Genomic DNA, 18,807 nt, shown 5'->3' on the forward strand with positions numbered 1-18,807 from the left:
GTCTGGTTCTGGACTTTTTTTATTGGTAACTTTTTAATTATCATTTCAATCTCACTGCATGTTATTGGTCTGTTCGGAGTTTCTATTTCTTCCTGGTTTAATCTGGGAGGGTTGTATATTTCCAGGAATTTCTCCATCTCCTCTAGGTTTTGTAGTTTATGTGCATAACGATGTTCATAGTAACCTTGAATGATCTTTTGTATTTCTGTGTTATCACTTGTAACATCTCCCATTTCATTTCTAATTGAGCTTATTTGTATCTTCTCTCTTCTTGGTTAATCTCACTAATGGTCTATAAATTTCATTTATCTTTTTAAAGAATTATCTTTTTGTTTCATTTATCCTTTGTATTTTTTGGTTTCAATTTCATTTAGATCTGCTCCGATCTTCATTATTTCTTTTCTTCTTCTGGGTTTGGGCTTGGTTTGTTCTTGTTTCTCTAGTTCCTTGAGGTGTGACCTTTGATTGTATATTTGTGCTCTTTCAGATTTCTTGATATAGGCATTTAATGCTGTGAACTTTCCTCTTAGTGAGAGACAGGACTAGCTGGATTTCCTAGGCCAGCTAAGAATCCCTAAGCCTAGCTGGGAAGGTGACTGCATCCACCTTTAAACATGGGGCTTGCAACTTAGCTCACACCTGACCAATCAGGTAGGGAAAGAAAGCTCACTAAAATGCTAATTAGGCAAACACAGGAGGTAAAGAAATAGCCAATCATCTATCACCTGAGAGCACAGTGGGAGGGACAATGATCAGGATATAAACCCAGGCATTCAAGCCCGCAATGGCTACCCTCTTGGGTCCCCTCCCTTTGTATGGGAGCTCTGTTTTCACTCTATTAAATCTTGCAACTGCACAGTCTTCTGGTCCGTGCTAGTTACAGCTCAAGCTGAGCTTTCACTTGCCATCCACTGCTGCTATTTGCCACCATCACAGACCCACTGCTGACTTCCATCTCTCCAGATCCGGCAGGGTGTCCGCTGTGCTCCTGATCCAGTGAGGTGCCCATTGCCACTCCCAATTGGGCTAAAGGCTTGCCATTGTTCCTGCATGGCTAAGTGCCCGGGTTCATCCTAATTGAGCTGAACACCTGTCACTGGGTTCCACGGTTCTCTTCCATGACCCACGGCTTCTAATAGAGCTATAACACTCACTGCATGGCCCAAGATTCCATTCCTTGGAATCCGTGAGGCTAAGAACTCCAGGTCAGAGAACAAGAGGCTTGCCACCATCTTGGAAGCAGCTCACCACCGTCTTGGGAGTTCTGGGAGCAAGGACCCCCTGGTAACATTAGCACTGCTTTTGCTGTATCCCAGAGGTTTTGATAGGTTGTGTCACTGTTATTGTACAGTTCAAAGAATTTTTAAATTTCCTTCTTGATTTCATTGTTGACCCAAAGATCATGCAGGGGGTTATTTAATTTCCATGTATTTGCATGGTTTTGAGGGTTCCTTTTGGAGTTGATTTCCAATTTTGTTCCACTGTGGTCTGAGAGAGTACTTGATATAATTTCAGTTTTCTTAAATTTGCTGAGACTTGTTTTGTGGCCTATCATATGGTCTGTCTTGGAGAATGTGCCATGTGCTGATGAATAGAATGTATATTCTACAGTTGTTGGGCAGAATGTTCTGTAAATGTCTGTTAAGTCCATTTGTTCTAGGCTATAGTTTAAGTCCATTGTTTCTTTGTTGACTTTCTGTCTTGATGACTTGTTTAGTGCTGACATTGGAGTATTGAAGTCCCCCACTATTACTGTGTTGCTGTCTCATTTCTTAGGTTTAGTAGTAACTATTTTATAAATTTAGGAGCTCCAGTGTTAGGTGCATATATTTTTAGGATTGTGATATTTTTCTTTTGGTCGAATCCTTTTATCATTATATAATGTCCCTCTTTGTCTTTTTAAACTGCTGTTGCTTTAAAGTTTTGTCTGATATAAGAATAGCTACTCCTGCTTGCTTTTGGTGTCCATTTGCATGGAATATCTTTTTCCACCCCCTCACCTTACATTTATGTGAATCCTTATGGGTTGGGTGAGTCTCTTGAAGACAGCAGATACTTGGTTGGTGAGTTCTTATCCATTCTGCTATTCTGTATCTTTTAAGGGAGTATTTAGGCCATTTACATTCAATGTTAGTACTGAGATGCGAGATACAATTCTACTCATCATGCTAGTTGTTGCCTGAATATCTTTTTTTATTTTTTTGCATTGTGCTATTGTTTTATAGGTCCTGTGAGATTTATGCATTAAGGAGATTATTTTGGTGTATTTCAAGGATTTATTTTGAGATTTAGAGCTCCTTTTAGCAGTTCTTGTAGTGCTGATTTGGTAGTGGTGAATTCTCTCAGCACTTGTTTGTGTGAAAAAGACTGTATCTTTCCTTCATGCATGAAGCTTAGTTTCACTGGATACAAAATTCTTGGCTGATAATTGTTTTGTTTAAGGAGGCTAAAGATAGAACTCCAATTCCTTGTAGTTTGTAGGATTTCTGCTGAGAAATCTGCTGTTAATCTGATAGGTTCAAAGAGAAGATCTGGGACTCAAGGGCTGCTGTTCAGATTCTTTTGTCCCATGGGGGTGCTCCCTTGATGTGCTGCTCTCCCCTTTCCCCTTAGTGATGGGACTTCCTGAGAGTCGAACTGCAGTGATTGTTATTTGTCTTCTGGATCTAGCCACCCAGCTGAGCTACTGGACTCTGGGCTGGTACTGTGGGGTGTCTACAGAGTCCTGTGATGTGCTCCATCTTCAGGTCTCTCAGCTGTGGATACCAGCACCTGCTCTGGTGGAGGGAGCAGGAGACTGAGGTGGACTCTGTGAGGGTCTTTGGTTGTATTTTTGTTAAGTGAGCTGGTTTTGTTTGTTGGCCTCCAGCCAGGAGGTGGTGCTTTCAAGAGTGCATCAGCTGTGATTGTATAGGGAGGATCAGGTGGTGGGTGGAGCCATGGAGCTCTCAAGAGATTATGTCCTTTGTCTTCAGCTACCAGGGTGGGTAGAGAAAGACCATCAGGTGGAGGCAGGGTTAGGCATGTCTGAGCTCAGACTCTCCTTGGGTGGGGCTTGCTGCAGATGCTGTGGGTGATGGTGGTACGGCTCCCAGGCCAATGCAGTTTTGTTCCCAGGGGGATTATGGCTGCCTCTACTGCGTCACACAGGTTGCCAAAGAAGTGGGAGGAAGCCAGCAGCCACAGGACTCACCCAGCTCTCATGCAGCCCACAGCCCAAAAGGCCAGTCTCACTTCCACCATGCCCCAGGGTTGGAGTGTGAGCAGGGCTGAGAACTTGCCCCAGGCTACAAGCCTCCTGCTGAGAAAGCAAGCAGACTCACATTTCCTTGGCTGTCCCAGAGCCTGGAGCAGCAATCCACCTCCTTCAAAGGGTCTGTGGATTCTCTTGGCTTTCCTGGTATGTTCCTGCAGTACTTCCTGGAGCAAAAGTTCACAGTGTGGGTCTCCACATGCTGCTCCGTCCATCCAAGTGGGAGCTGCAAGTTAGTCCTGCCTCCTATCTGCTGTTTTTCCCGTACTCCATTGTCAGGTTCATTTTTTTAATGTCACTGCTCATGCATTTGAGTGCTCTGCCTCTCACCCCACTCTTCCCATAGCCTCTGTGGTTTTTAAGGCATGATCCTGCATAGTGTGGTGGCTTCTAGGAATGCACATGATGTACCACAGTGGAACTGACTAGTATGTACAAGGACAGTTGTTATAAGTAAAGTTTCGGTGCCACAAAAGAAATAGCACTCGAATATCAAATTTTCTTTTTAATTCTCAGCAAGGCAATGTACTTCTGTAGAAGGGTGCACCCTTACAAATGGAGCAATGGTGAGCACATACTTGGACAAGGGAGGGGAAGGGGTTTTATCCCTGACGGACACAGCCCCTGCTGCCGTGTCGTTCCCCTATTGGCTAGGGTTAGACCACACAGGCTATACTAATTCCGACTGGCTAATTTAAAGAGAGTGATGGAATGAGTGGTTTGGTGGGAAAAATTGTTATGGCAGAGCAGGAAATCGGAATGAGTCAGGGTGGAGCAGGTAATCGAAACAGGTTGCTTTACGAGGAAGTTAACTTTAAAAGTAGAAGGCAAAGAATTGAACATAGTGACATATTGTTTCTTTGAAGAGAAATTTAGAACTCATATCGAACACAAAGAATCCAAATCAATATAGCTCTGGAAATTTAAGTTTTGAGACAACTCCTTGGCTCCAAGCACATAGCAAAGATATAAAATATACAAAGAGAATACTGGAAAGACATCGCAAGTTTCAAAATCATGATCATCTCTCCTGGCTCAGAAATAAAGAGCAGAAAGTGGCATCCACAGGGCTGCAGCTGAGATCCCACCATGGAACTGTATGCAGGAACAGTAAAATAATTCTAAAACATTGGTAACAAAATTAAAAGCTTGGAAATTAAAACCATTGTTAGCAGTTTTTCTAACGGAGATACTTGAGAACAATCCGAATTTCCTCAATAAAAGAATAAAAAAATAAGCTGTGAAATATTCATTTACCATTAGACTATAAGTTAAAATAGCAAGAACAGGCCAGGTGTGGCGGCTCATGCCTGTAATTTCAGCACTTTGGGAGGCTGAAGCAGGAGGATCACTTGAGGCCAGAAGTTCAAGACCAGCCTGGGAAACAGGGCAAGCCCCAATCTCTACACACACACACACAAATAAGCCAGGCATGGTGGCTCACACCTTCTAGCTACTTGGGAGGCTGAGATGGGAGGATCAATTGAGCCGAGGAATTTGAGGCTGTAGTGAGCTATGATTGTGCCACTGCACTCCAGCCTTGGTGACAGAGTAAGATCTTATCTCAGAAACAAATAAATAAGTGAAGTAGCAAGAGCCACATCTATCCACATATATAATAAACTCCTGAAATATTACATTGAGTGGGGGGAAACCATTGTAGAATTACATACACAGTGTGACATCATTTATTTGAAAAAATTTTAATGTAAAAAATACTGTATATCAGTGGTTGGCAAACTACTGCCTGAGGGCCAGTGCCTATTTGTGTAAATAAAGTTTTATTGAAACATAGCTGCACATGATCATTTGTTTCTATATTGTCTGTGGCTGCTTTCACACACAGCGGCAGAGTTGAGTTATGACAGAGGCCACGTGCCTACAAAGCTTAAAATATTCATGATCTGATCCTTCACAGAAAAAACTTGCTGACTCCTGTTGTATATTATTTATGGATATATATACACATACATACACACGTGTGCTATCAAACATAAAAGCAAACATTTGCTTGGGGTTAATACACCCAGACTTCAGAATAGTAGCTGTGTCTGGGAGACAGGACGGGAAGAAAATTGGGATCAGAGAAGGGCACTTTAAGGGGCTTCAGCTGTGTGAAGTGTTTTTTTATTTAAAGGAATATCTTAAGTAAACATGGTAAAATATTGATTTGCTTAGATGGGTAACGAGTACACAGTTATTCTTTATGTCCTGTGTACTTTCCAGTGTTTTAAAAATACTTTATAATAGCGAGTATTGAGAGGGAAAAAGATGAATGTGGTTGATCCAAGGGCCTGATGAGGCCCAGTGTCCGCGCTGTGTCTTAGTGGCCAAATCAGGGTGCAGCATGCATGTCCACTGGGCGGTGTTTGTGGAGAAAGAGGGAGGAAGTCCCTCCTTAAAGGAAGAATATACCTTTTTGTGTTTGGGGGAATTTTTTTGCATGTGAATGTACTAATATAACTTAAATATGAAAAAGAATGACTAGGAACGTAGCACTTAATCTCCTCTTGGCCACATGTTATTTTCAGACTTGTCACACCATCTCTGGGTGCTGGCCATCACCAGCCACAATAACACCATGTGGCTGTGTCACTCAGTCAGTCAATGGGCATCTGTCAAGTGTCTGCATATCCAGGCTTGCATGCTGCTCCACCCTTGATTTATGGAAAAATGCATCACAAATCTCATCTCAGAGAACACAGTCATGAAGCAAGAACGTGTCATGCAGACTTGGAAACCCTGTTCCCATTTGCTAGGAATGCCGAAGTTCTAATGCAAGTGAGGAAGTCTATATCCCAGCTTGTGTGCGGGTCCCTGGATTCTGCTGCTGGTCGTGCGGGGCCTGACTCAGAGGTGAAGGCCATGGTGTGAGTGCTCTGGGAACACAGCTCACCCCTCAGAGAAGCCAGGTGGGCTCTTAAATTAGAAAGGCTGGCTGGGTTCATCCTCACCCTGGAACCAAATAAAAGTGGCAGCATTCACTCACTATCCCCAGCCTGCAAGTGGCTGCCCTAGTCTTCCGGTCACTTTGGCACAGAGCTTGCCCCTGTAAGGCACCTCCTTGAACTGCATTGACCCCACAGGCCTACCATACCTGCACTTGTGAGGTTGGGTCACGACTAGTCTGTACCCCACGGTTTAGAGCAGGCGGCGGTCACGGCTCCATCTCTCCCCAAAGTTTAGAGTAGGTGGTGGTCACTACTCCTTCTCTCCCCGAGGTTTAGAGTAGGCTGTGGTCACTGCTCCCTTTCTCCTGGGCTTTAGGGCAGGCGGAGGTCATGCTCCATCTCTTCCCGGGGCTTAGAGCAGGCAGTGGTCACTGTTCCATCTCTCCCCAAGGTTTAGAGTGGGTGGCAGTCATGGCTTCATCTGTCCCCAGGGTTTAGAGCAGGTGGTGGTCACTGCTCCATCTCTCCCCAAGGTTTAGAGCGGGCGGCAATCATGGCTTCATCTCTCTCTGGGGTTAAGAGCAGGTGGTGAACACTGCTCCATCTCTTCCTGGGGCTTAGGGCAGGCAGCGGTCACAGCTCCGTCTCTCCCTGGGGTTTACAGCAGATGGTGGTCACTGCTCCACTCCTCCCCAGGGTTTAGAGCAGGCAGCGGTGGTCACCACCTGGTGGTCCATCTCTCCTCGTTGGTAGGACTTTGCAGGCTGTGGGCTGCCTGTTGTCTGGTTCAGCAGAAGTGTACAAGCATCACTGTTGAGGGTGAAGCTCCGCCCCATCTCTGCTCACTCTCTTTTCCTAAAGATCAAGTTGCCCTACTTTTATTTCTAATTGAGTCAGTTAGAAAACCAACTTGTTTTTCTAGTTGCCTAGATGACCAAGTAGGGTACCTAAGAAGCGAATCTGTAAGTAATAAGCATCTAAAGTTGTGCTTTATAGATGATCTTCAGAGTGACCTGTTTATTACTCTAAATGATGAATCAGATACCAGTCTCCACTGTAGAAACATCCTTCCTATCCTAAACAAAATGGAACTCCTGACTATATTCCTGGTCTTCTACCCAATTGGGGATGTAATTCAAGTGTGTCAGGCCTCTGAGCCCACGCTAAGCCATCATATCCCCTGTGACCTACATGTATACATTCACATGGCCTGAAGCACCTGAAAAACCACAAAAGAAGTGAAAATAGCCAGTTTATGCCTTAACTGATGACATTCCACCATTGTGATTTGTTCCTGCCCCACCCTAACTGATCAATTGACCATGTGACATTCCTTCTCCTGGACAATGAGTCTTAAGAGCTCCCCCACCGAGCACCTTGTGACCCCCACCCTTGCCCACAAGAGAAAAACCTCCTTTAACTGTAAATTTTCCACTACCTACCCAAATCCTGTAAAACTGCCCCTCCCCATCTCCCTTTGCTGACTCCTTTTTCAGACTCAGTCAGCCTGCACCCAGGTGATTAAAAAGCTTTATTGCTCACACAAAGCCTGTTTGGTGGTCTCTTCACACAGATGCACATAACAAAGTGTGGGTGATGCGAACAATGTTTATGTAATCAACTTTTGGTTAAATCCCTTCCTTAAAGATTTGAATCTTGGTCTAGAACATCACTCTGGAATGTCATATTTATTGTATCATGTAAATGTCCAATTTAACATCCTATAACCCCACGGCATATTGGGTACACGTGCGGCACAAGTTACCTTATACTCTGAACAAGAAATGGGTCAGGAAGAATACGAGCCTTGTCCTTGCAGATTTTCTCAATTATTCGTCATCTATAATGCATATGTGTAGGGAAACTGGCAGGATGTAGAAATGAATAAAAAGAGGAAACATCTTTTTTCCTTGCTTTATATGACCAGCAATCAGTGCCACTGATGTAGCAAGTGCCATGTAAACATCAGTTATTTTATTCATGTCAATGATCCTGTGTGCTAGAAATTACCTCATTTTATTTATGGGGTGACAGAGGCTCAGAGAGATTAAATAACATGCTGGAGTCTTACATCTTGCAGGCAGCAGAGCCAGGATTTAAACTCACCCAGAGCCTGTGCTTTTCCCTGTGTGCCACGAAGCCCACACACAGCAGTCCACTCTCCTCCAGGTCCCTCACTGCATCTTCCATTCTTCTGGGCAAGGCCTGAGAGCAGAGGCCCTGAAGCCCAGGGCCCAGGCCCCTCAGGGAAGCTTCTGGTGTAAAGCAAAAATAAAATGCTAAGCCCCCTAACCATCTGAATGAACCCCTCTTCTTGGAATGCCAAGGGCATTCCAAAGTTAATCTGAAAAACGAGTTCAGGCTATGATGGGAAGCAGGGGTTGGACATGCCTCAATATACCTTCCGCCCTTTTGGAATTCAGGCACAGCTGACCAGCATTAACATCAACACAGACTTTAAGTCTGATAAGAAGCATTTACAATCTATTCTCTGTGAAGCCTGCTACCTGGAGGCTTCATCTGCATGACAAAACCTGGCTCTCCACAATCCCTTATTATAACCCAGACACTCCCTTCTATTGATTCCAGGTCTTTAGATAAAAACTCTTTCAACCAATTGCCAATCAGAAATTCTTTGAGTCTACCTGTGACCTGGAAGCCCCTGCTTCAAGTTGTCCCACCTTTCCTGACCCAACGAATGTACACCTTACCTGTATTGATTGATGTCTTAAGTCCCCCTAAAATGTATAAAACCAAGGTGTAGCCTGACTACCTTGGGCACATGTTCTCCTGACCTCCTGAGGTTGTGTCACAAGTCATTGGTCCCTCATATTTGGTCAGAATAAACCTCTTCAAATGTTTTACAGAGCTTGACGCTTTTCGTCCACACTATGCAAAGAGAACAAGACAGGGATGGGAGATTTTGGTTCCACTTGGTGGCCAAGGCTCCTGGTTTCTAACCACATGCAGGACCAAGCTGGCACGGCCTGTCACAGCACCCACATCCCTACTGCCTTCTGGAAGCTGCTCCTTTTCCTTCAGGGCTAAGCAGGGACCCAGACCCCTTCCTTCACTGTCCTGGAGGCTCCAGCACCTGGTCACATTTCTGCTCTCAGCCTTGAAATGTGGAGGGCTCATCTCATCTTCTCAGAAAGTAAAACATGTGGCAGCCTCAGTGAGCCCATACAGTTTTCTTCAGGGCAGCCCACATGGCACCTGGCATGGTCTCCTCTCCCTCAAAGCAGGAAAGAGACCTTCTCATGGGTAAGAGAAGGCCCATGGTGGAAACACAAAGGCAGCCATCTGGCTGAGAAGGAAAAAACACTGATTCTTCCAGATGAGTCTGCAGTGGCGGAAAACAAAGCTGGGGTGGCTTCCCCACTGCAGTGCTTAGTTCTCGGGGGGATCTGCTGCTCATTGATTTCTAACATTGCCTTCCAGTTACATCATGGAAAACAGGAAGAAAGAGGAAAAAATAGGAAAGGAAGAACAAAATGCACTGAAGCAAGAGCAGGAAGAAAGGGTAGAATGAAGCATTTAAACAGAGAGGAAGAGAAAAATAGCAATCACAGAAAGAACCAGGGAGTTTATAAAACAGGCTGCATGAAAATCATTTATCAAAACACTGTCCAGGAATTTTTGTTAAAAATAAACATAAAACAATTAGCTAGTCACAAAAAGACAAGTACTGTGGAACTCCACTCATTGTTAGTCAGTGGCGAGGCAGACATGAGCAGGGCAGGAGAGGGCCCACCCCACCAGGAACCTCTGGAGACCATCAGGTGATACTCAGGCAGTGGTTAAACTGGTTCTCTAAAATAGTAATTGGTTGCAGCTGTGCCAGGGAAAGGCGGGCTCCCAATAGCTGGAAAACACCTGAAACTGATCAGCAGCTTTCTATAAGATCTCAGGAGTGGGGCGAGGTGGCTTAGGCCTGTGCACTAAGAGGTAAAATGTAGTTTAACTGGTGTGTGACCTTCCTCCAGGAACACGAGACAGGTAAGGGCAAAATACTTCAGGTGAGCATGTGCACAACTTCAGTAATACAGCGCGCACGCGGCCCCGCCCAAGCGCTGGCCGGTCACTGCGCATGCGGACAGCCCACCCCAAGGAAAGGTCAAGGAAGGGGAAATGGAAACCCTGAACCATGCCCATGTATAAAACCCAAAGTGGGGGGTTGTACCCTGCACTTGGATCTCTCAAGTCGCCTACTTCACCCTCTCCCAAGTGTACTTTACTTCCCTTAATTCCTGCTCTAAAGCTTTTTAATAAACTCTCAGTCCTGCTCTAAAACTCGCCTTGGCCTCTCACTCTGCACTATGCACCTCGGCCGAATTCTTTCCTCTGAGGAGGCAAGAATCGAGTTGCTGCAGACCCTACGGATTCCCTGCTGCTAACAGTATTAGTCCCTGGACTAATCAAATTCAGACACACAAAGTGGAATGGTGGATGCCAGGGGCTGGGGAGGGCAATGGGGAGTGAGTGCTTATTTAAGGGGGACAGAGTTCGGTCTTGCAAGATGAAGATGTTCTATTGATTGTGAAAAATGTGAATGCACCTAAATGCCTAAAAATGGTTAAAATGGTAATCGTTATGTGTATTTTGCCACAATTTAAAAACATAAAAAATAAGAATGTCTGAGTAAATAAACGTATAACGCGTTCTTTAAGTCCACTGACAGCGGCGTGGCCTTGGCCTCTGTGCTCATCTTTCCAGGACAGAGCCCCGTTTGGTGTTTCTGGTTCTGTGCTGCGTAGAGAACTTGGCACCCTGGTCCTATGCACAGAAGAGGAGCTTTCCGAAGGCTCCGGGAGAGAACGCTGGGGAGTCAAGGCCAGTCCGAGCACAGCAGCTGGGGCCAGATTGGAGACAGGGACTTTTTTATTCGAGAGAAAGCGAACGTAGTATCTAAGCGGAAGAGCCCTTGCAGGCGCGGGAAGGGAGGCCGCGCTTCCCCGGGCCTGCGGGGTCAGAGGAGGAGCTTCTGCGGGAGCTTAAAGGGGCCCCACAGCCCCCTGCACCCCTTCCACGAGCTCTGGGGAAGGCGTTCCTCGTGGGAGACCTGTCTCCCACGTTGTTGCCGGTTAAGAAGTCAGAGCTAGGGGACAGGCCGGGTGCGGTGGCTCACGCCTGTAATCCCAGCACTTTGGGAGGCCGAGGCGGGCGGATCACGAGGTCAGGAGATCAAGACTATCTTGGCTAACACTGTGAAATCCCGTCTCTACTAAAAATACAAAAAATTAGCCGGGCGTGGTGGCACGCGCCTGTAGTCCCAGCTACTCCGGAGGCTGAAGCAGGAGAATTGCGTGAACCCGGGAGGCAGAGCTTGCAGTGAGCAGAGATCGCGTCACTGCACTCCAGCCTGGCGACAGAGCGAGTCTCCGTCTCAAAAAAAAAAAAAAAAAAAAAAAAAAAAAAAAAAAAAAGGAGAGAGGAAAAAAGCAAACTGTGCCTTTAAACCAGGGCGACCTTCATTCCCACAAGAAGGACTCCGCCTTGGTCCCCTTGGGTGAAAGCTGCCGCTGCTGAGCGCCTCTGCGGCCCGGTGAGATCGGGGTTCACAGGCTGACCCAGCGTTAGGAGGTGCCGGGCTGATCACGACCGCCAGAGCTGCTGAGGTCGGAGCCCCGACCCTGGGAACGCAGCACGGAGCCTGGCCGCGGGCCGTGAACAAAGCGGTGTGCAGGGGACCCAGGTTCACAGCGCAGGTGCGCGGCTCCCCGGCGGCTCTGCCGTCCTAGCTCACGCGGTCCCGGGGCAGCTGCTTTGCGCCGAGCCCCAGAGACGTGGCGGCGGGTCCCGACTGCGCTGCCGCCCGTGAGAGGCACCGGACCTGCCCTCCAGGGCGGGGAAAGGGAGGACTCTGATCCCATGAGAACCCAGACAGTTCCATGTCCAAGGAGGCACCCGGAATGTTCTGAAACAAACCTGCGATTATGACAGCTCCGTATCATGTACTAGACGAAATTCTTACAGCTCCAACCTCTTTTTTTACATTTTCTATTAAATTTTAATACCGGTTTCTCGCGCCTATGAGCAAAAAGACAAGTGTTAAAGCTAGCAATCGTTTGTGCAATTTCATCGATTGGTTCCACCGCTGCACTTGCTGCTGGTGACCAATAGGGGGTGTTAATTGTTAATTATAATCAATATTCTGCCCACTGACAACAGCAAATCCTAAAAGCTCAAGTTTCAACTCAATTCTTAAAACGAAGATTTAACTAGCTCCTTGAATCTTATAGGACTTTTATCACTCTCAGTGCTTCCAGTTACAGGTTCTAGTCTCAAAACTAGTTGACCTAAATGTCTTCAAATAAACTTTAAAGGATATGGATGGAGTTTTAAGCCAACTTTTAACTGAAAGTATAGCATATATATAGAAAAGCTCACAAATCATAAATGTTCAGCTGGATATACATTTTTTACAAAGGCTCACACATCCATGGGGCCAGGCCTCGGGTCAGACATAGAATCTCACCAGGGGACTCCCTCACACACTTCCCAGCCCTTATCCCACCTCAGAGAATAGCCATCTTCCGACTTGTTCCAGTGTAGATGACCCTTGCCTGTTCTAAGCTTTATATAAATGAGTTATATAATGTATCTGGATTCTTTTGCTCAGTGTTTGCTCGTGAGACTGTCCCTATTCTGAGTGCAGCCATATTATGGGGGTGTAATGTGTGCGTACTGCCCTGCAATGCAGTACTCCCCTTTATGCACACACCACGAGGGGCATCTCCAAACAGCCGCTCCCAAGCATCGGGGCTGCTTTGGGCTTGGGGCAGTGATGAACGATGCTGTTATAAACCTTCTTGTGCATGTCTTTAGGCACACATATACGCATTTCTGATTGGCATATATTTAGGAGTAGAATTGCTGGGCCATAGAGTGTGCACATACTAAACTCAGAAGATGCTGCCAAACAGGTTTCCAAAACGGTTGTACGAATTTACACTCCCACGGGCTGCATATGAGAGCTCCGTTGCTCACATTTGCTATCATAAATGTATTTTTATTGCATGGAATTATTATAGTACTTGATGTATAGCTTTTCCAGGGTTTTCCAAAGAGTATAATCTTAGCCAGATACTAGCAAAAGAGTAATTAAGATGTAAGAACTATGTAAATTGTAAGCACTCAGAATATGTATTTACCACGCAGGATTCTCACAGATATCTTAAGATGCTGTTCAAATTAGGGAGGTCTATTCTTGATGCATGGAAGGTGTTGTGGATGAAATTCTTTTGCTTTATTTCTGCACAGAGTAATCTCATAGTAAGTTTAAATTACTGCAGGGATTTATCCCCAAGTCCTAACTGAGTGTCAATGTTGGGATGACAAAGACGGTCTAACCTTACACATCTGAACCAAGTCCTCATTTTCTCAGAGCCCAACAGGAGGCTGAACCCAGCGTCCCTGTCATGTCTCACCCTCTCAGAGGTGGCCTATGTAGTACCCACTCCAACATTGTTTCAGTTCTGCCCTCAAATGAAGCCAGAAGGTGATGGAGCTGTGGGAGGGGAGAGTGTAAGGTTGACAGTGTCTAAGCAAGCAGGACTTGACACAGATGACGAGGCTGTCTTTTCTATTCAGGTTCAGCTCATGAGCACTGGAGAGTTATAGAAACTTCTAGAATCAGCAGAATAGTTAAATTCACTCTCCTTTAATGCAAATGAAGAATGTCTTTCCTGGACTTCAGGAGTCACACTTCTCTTATGCCAGCTTCCTCTGAGAATTCCAGATATTCTCTGAGTAGAGGTGAATCTTCTGCCGGGTCTTCTGAAAGAGACCCCACCTCTCATCATGGGCTGCTCCTGACCTCTGCCCCCTGTGATAAATGAGCCAATTAACACTAAACTGGAGATTCCTCAGGGGTTTTAGGCTGGTTTTCCCAAGCCAAGTGTTACTCCTCAAATGTTCTCCATTCATCTTGTAGAAAGGGCCATGTTTGCAGGATTCCCAGCTCGCACGCAGTGGGTGATTGGTGGCTGTGGACAGAGCTTCAGGCCTGCAAAGATCTGATCGAGCAGAGCCAGGTTCTAGCAGGTGCTACCTAAATGAGTTGATTAGAGCACGCTTTCTGGAACCAAAATAAAAAATGAATTGTTCCTATTGTTTTAAAGTTAGTTGTAATGAAGAATTCATTTAATTTTGTTGTGGTAAAATATCCATAATCTGAAATTTACCGCTTAACCATTCTTAGGTGCACAGTTCAGTGGCATTAAGTGCATTTACATTGTTTCTTGTGCAACCATCACTATACTGTCTTCCTTCTCCAGAACTTTTTCTTCTTCCCAGACTAAAACCCTGTCCTCATTCAACACTGACTCCCCCTCCCCCATCTCCCCAACTCCTGGCAGCCCCCATTCTACTTTCTGTCTCTGTGACTTTGAGTCCTCTATGGACCTCATCTGTCTGGAGTCATACAGTATTTGTCCTTTTGTGGCTGGTGTATTTCACTTAGCGTAACATCCTCAAGTTTCATCTGTGCTATGGCACATGTCAGAGCATCTTTGCTTGTTGAGGATGGATAACACCCCATTGTTATCCATGGGGTGGATGACATGAAGGGCCCACATTTTGTTTATTCATTCCTCTGTTGGTGGACATGGGTGGCTTCCACCTCTTGGCTATTTTGAATAATGCTCCTAGGAACATGGGTGTACTGATCTTTTTGAGTCTGCTTTCAGTTTTCTTGGGCATTTAGCCAACAGCAGAATTGCTGAATCCTATGATAATTCTAGGTTTAATTTTTTCAGGAGCTGCTATACTATCTTCCACAGTGGTGAAAAATTCTCCTTGTGTCACTGGGACCTTTCCTTTGCCATGGCTTGTGTACATTCTCAAGTAGCTTTCAGAGTTATTTCAAAAGAAGTCGGGACCAGCGATGCCAGCATGGCTGAGCTTTTCACAAGTTTTACACCTAGAAATGGGTGGTACAGCAAGGTCCAAGGCAAAAAGATGGCTCCTCTGACCTCTAGGACACCCCACACCCCACTCTTTGATCCAGAGGTGTTGGAGCCTGTGAGGAAGGATGAGGTGGCAAGGTGAGAATTGAAAAGCGTGATAGCAGAGATGGGGAGTTCTGCAGAGGTGAACAAAGAATTCAGGAGATTCTGCAGAGGCAAAGAAAGAATCAGCAAACATGAAGATAGGGCCATAGGAGTGACCAAAAGCAAGGCACAAACAGGAACAGGGATTTTTAAAACAAGCACACAAAAAACCCAGAGCATGTAAGAGCTTTGGGAAATTATCGGACATGCTAACAGATGTGTAACTGGAATCCCAGAAGAAAAGAAAATCAGCAGAAGAAATATTTGAAGATATTGGGGGAACCTGCTCCCCATATTTCAACATAGGTTCTTTTTATTTCCCATAAGTGTCAGCCGGCTGAGAAATAAAGAGAAAGAGTACAAAGAGAGGAATTTTACAGCTGGGCCGCCAGGGGGTGACATCACATGTTGGTAGGACCGTGATGCCTGCCTGAGTCTCAGACCAGCAAGTTTTTATTTAGGGTTTCAAAAGGGGAGGAGGTGTAAAACAGAGAGTAGGTACAAAGATCACATGCTTCAAAGGGCAAAAAGCAGAACAAAGATCACATGCTTCTGAGGGAACAGGACAAAAGGCAAAACAGAACTACTGATAAGGATCTATGTTCAGCTGTGCACGTATTGTCTTGATAAACATCTTAAACAACAGAAAACAGGGTTCAAGAGCAGAGAACCAGTCTGACCACAAATTTACCAGGGTGGAGTTTTTCCCCACCCTAATAAGCCTGAGGGTACTGCAGGAGACCAGGGCGTATTTCAGTCCTTATCTCAACTGCATAAGACAGACACTCTCAGAGCGGCCGTTTATAGACCTCCCCCAGGAATGCATTCCTTTCCCAGGGTATTAATATTAATATTCCTGGCGAGGAAAAGAATTTAGCGGTATCTTCCCTACTTGCATGTCTGTTTATAGGCTCTCTGCAAGAAGAAAAATATGGCTCTTTTTGCCCAACCCCGCAGGCAGTCAGACCTTATGGTTGTCTTCCCTTGTTCCCTAAAAATCACTGTTATTCTGTTCTTTTTCAACGTGCACTGATTTCATATTGTTTAAACACACATGTTTTACAATCAATTTGTACAGTTAACACAATTATCACAGTGGTTCTGAGGTGACATACATCCTCAGCTTATGAAGAAAACAGGATTAAGAGATTAAAAGACAGGTATAAGAAATTATAAAAGTATTATTTGGGAACTGATAAATGCCCATATTAAAATGAAATCTTCACAATTTATGTTCCTCTGCCATGGCTCCAGCCGGTCCCTCTGTTCGGGATCCCTGACTTCCCACAACATGAAGAGTTAATGTCCAAGAATATTTAAAATTCATGGAAGACACCAAACCACAATCCAGAGAACACCCAGGAGGACAACCACTGCTAATAATACTAATAACCACAACAATAATAAACACTGGCTAGACCAAGCATAGTACAACTGCTGCTGGAAAAACAGAGAAAACAGGCACTGCAAACAGAGGAACAAAAAGAAAATCACAAACTTTGAATTAGAAACCATCCAAGACAGAAGATAATACAGCGACATTTTAAAGTATTTAAAACAACATGCCTTTAAAGCTAGAATTCTATTTCAGCAAAAATAATCTTTCAAAAATGAAAGGCAAATAGGAGACTTCAACTTCTGACCAAGATGAACTAACAAGAGCAAGATTAACCATCCCATGAGGAAAAAAAACCCAAAAGGAAAAACCAAAACATATGAAACATTTTCAAGATAGTGAGCATCAGGCAAGAAGGCCAGGGACCCAGAGAAATGGGCAACCAGAATTCGAAGCAAAGCAAACCCTAGAGATGTGAAGAGGGCCACACTTCCAAGCACATGTGGAACATTTTAAAAAACAATTCTGCAGTGTGGTGGCTCACGCCTGTAATCCCAGTACTTTGGGAGGCTGAGGCAGGTGAATCATGAGGTCAGGAGTTTGAAACCAGCCTGGCCAACATGGTGAAACCCCGTCTCTACTAAAAATAAAAAAAAATTAGCTAGGCATAGTGGCAGGTGCCTGTAATCCCAGTTATTCAGGAGGCTGAGGCAGGAGAATCACTTGAACCCAGGAGGTGGAGGTTGCAGTGAGCCAAGATTGTGCTACTGTACTCCATCCAGTTGACAGAGTGAGACTCCGTCTCAAAAAAAAAAAAAAAAAAAAAACCATTCTCCACTGGGCCATAAAGGAAGTCTCAGCAAATTCCAATGACTAATATCATACAGACCACATTCTCTGTCCACAATTCAATTAAGTTAGAATTTTTTAAAAAAAGAGATGTATTTTGAAACTGAAACACAATATAGAAGAACTCTTGAGTTGAATTAACAATCATCATGAAAATTTAAGAATATTTAGAACTTACTGTGTATGCATTCCTAAAAAATATAGCTTAATTTTGCCTAAAGAAACTTGCCTAATTTTATATAAATGTAATCATATTGAACTTATTATGTCTTGCTTATTTTGGCCAACATGTTTATAAAGTTTATCCACTTTGTTGCACATAGTTGTCTTTGTTTATTTCAATCAATTATCAAGTCAGGATTCTGATTACTTCTGAGACAGGAAGAAAGGAATTGTGATAGGAGCAGCACATGCGGGCTTATTTTGGGCTAAATTTCTATGGCTTTGGTAAATAAAAGGATTATTTGCCAGATTGATGATTAGATTGAAAATAAATCTAATTGCATTTAGGTGTCCTGACCACATTTTATTCAAGAGATTCACAGTGAAGTCTTTGCAATGTATACAATCATAATATAATGGAAAGGTACATATTTAAAGAACTTCCATTGTAAATTTCTGCAGTGACAGGTCCTTACTGGAAACTAGTAATCACCTCCTTATTTCTGCAATTTAAGAATCTAGAAGTCATGCAAGTTTGCTTGTACTTGTGGCCACTGTAGAGTCTTTTTTGTCTCTTTTTACTGTTTTTGACTTAAAGTCTGTTTTATCTGATTTATATATAGCTATTCCTTCTCACTCTTAGTCTCTGTTTGCATGAAATATCTTTCCATCTCTTTATTTTCAGTCCATGTGTATCTTTACAGGTGAGATGAGTTTCTTGTAGGCAGCATATGGTTGGGTCATTTAAAAAAAATCTATTCAGCCAATCTGTATCTTTTAATTGAAAAGTTTAATTTGCTTACATTCAAGGTTATTTTTGATACCTGAGAGCTTATTCCTGTCATTTTATAATTGATTACTGGCTGTTGTGGATACCTTTTGTTCCTTTCCTTCTCTTTTATTTTTTATTATTATTGTTTGCTGGTTTTCTGTAGTGGTAACATTTGAATCCTTTTGTTCCTTATGTATTTTCTCTACCAGTGGGTTTTATACTTTTGTGTGTTTTCATGATGGTAGATATCGTCCTTTCACTTCCAGGTTTAGGACTTCCTTAAGCATTTTTTTTATGGCTAGTCTAGTGATAATGAATTCTCTCAGTGTTTGCTTGTCAGAGAAAGACTTTATTTTTCCTCCATTTATGAAAGAGAACTTTGCTGAATCTAGTATCCTTGGTTGCCAAGTTTTTTTTTTCTTTTGGCACTTTGAATATATCATCCCATTCTCTCCTGGCCTATAAGGTTTCTGCTGAGAAATCTGCTGTTA

The 18,807-nt window shown here is 44.1% G+C and overlaps 2 annotated features.

The window, feature by feature from the left end:
* Positions 8,356-8,886: an enhancer, noted in NCBI's record as "NANOG hESC enhancer chr13:111716396-111716926 (GRCh37/hg19 assembly coordinates)". NCBI's record gives its function as "activates a minimal SCP1, AML or CMV promoter by ChIP-STARR-seq in primed H9 embryonic stem cells {active_cell/tissue: H9 hESC(primed)}" and the evidence as "EXISTENCE:reporter gene assay evidence [ECO:0000049][PMID:30033119]".
* Positions 11,588-11,647: an enhancer, noted in NCBI's record as "active region_8023". NCBI's record gives its function as "activates an Ori minimal core promoter by ATAC-STARR-seq in GM12878 lymphoblastoid cells {active_cell/tissue: GM12878}" and the evidence as "EXISTENCE:reporter gene assay evidence [ECO:0000049][PMID:35858748]".

Source organism: Homo sapiens, chromosome 13 (assembly GCF_000001405.40).
Source record: "Homo sapiens chromosome 13, GRCh38.p14 Primary Assembly".
Taxonomy (NCBI): Eukaryota; Metazoa; Chordata; class Mammalia; order Primates; family Hominidae; genus Homo; species Homo sapiens.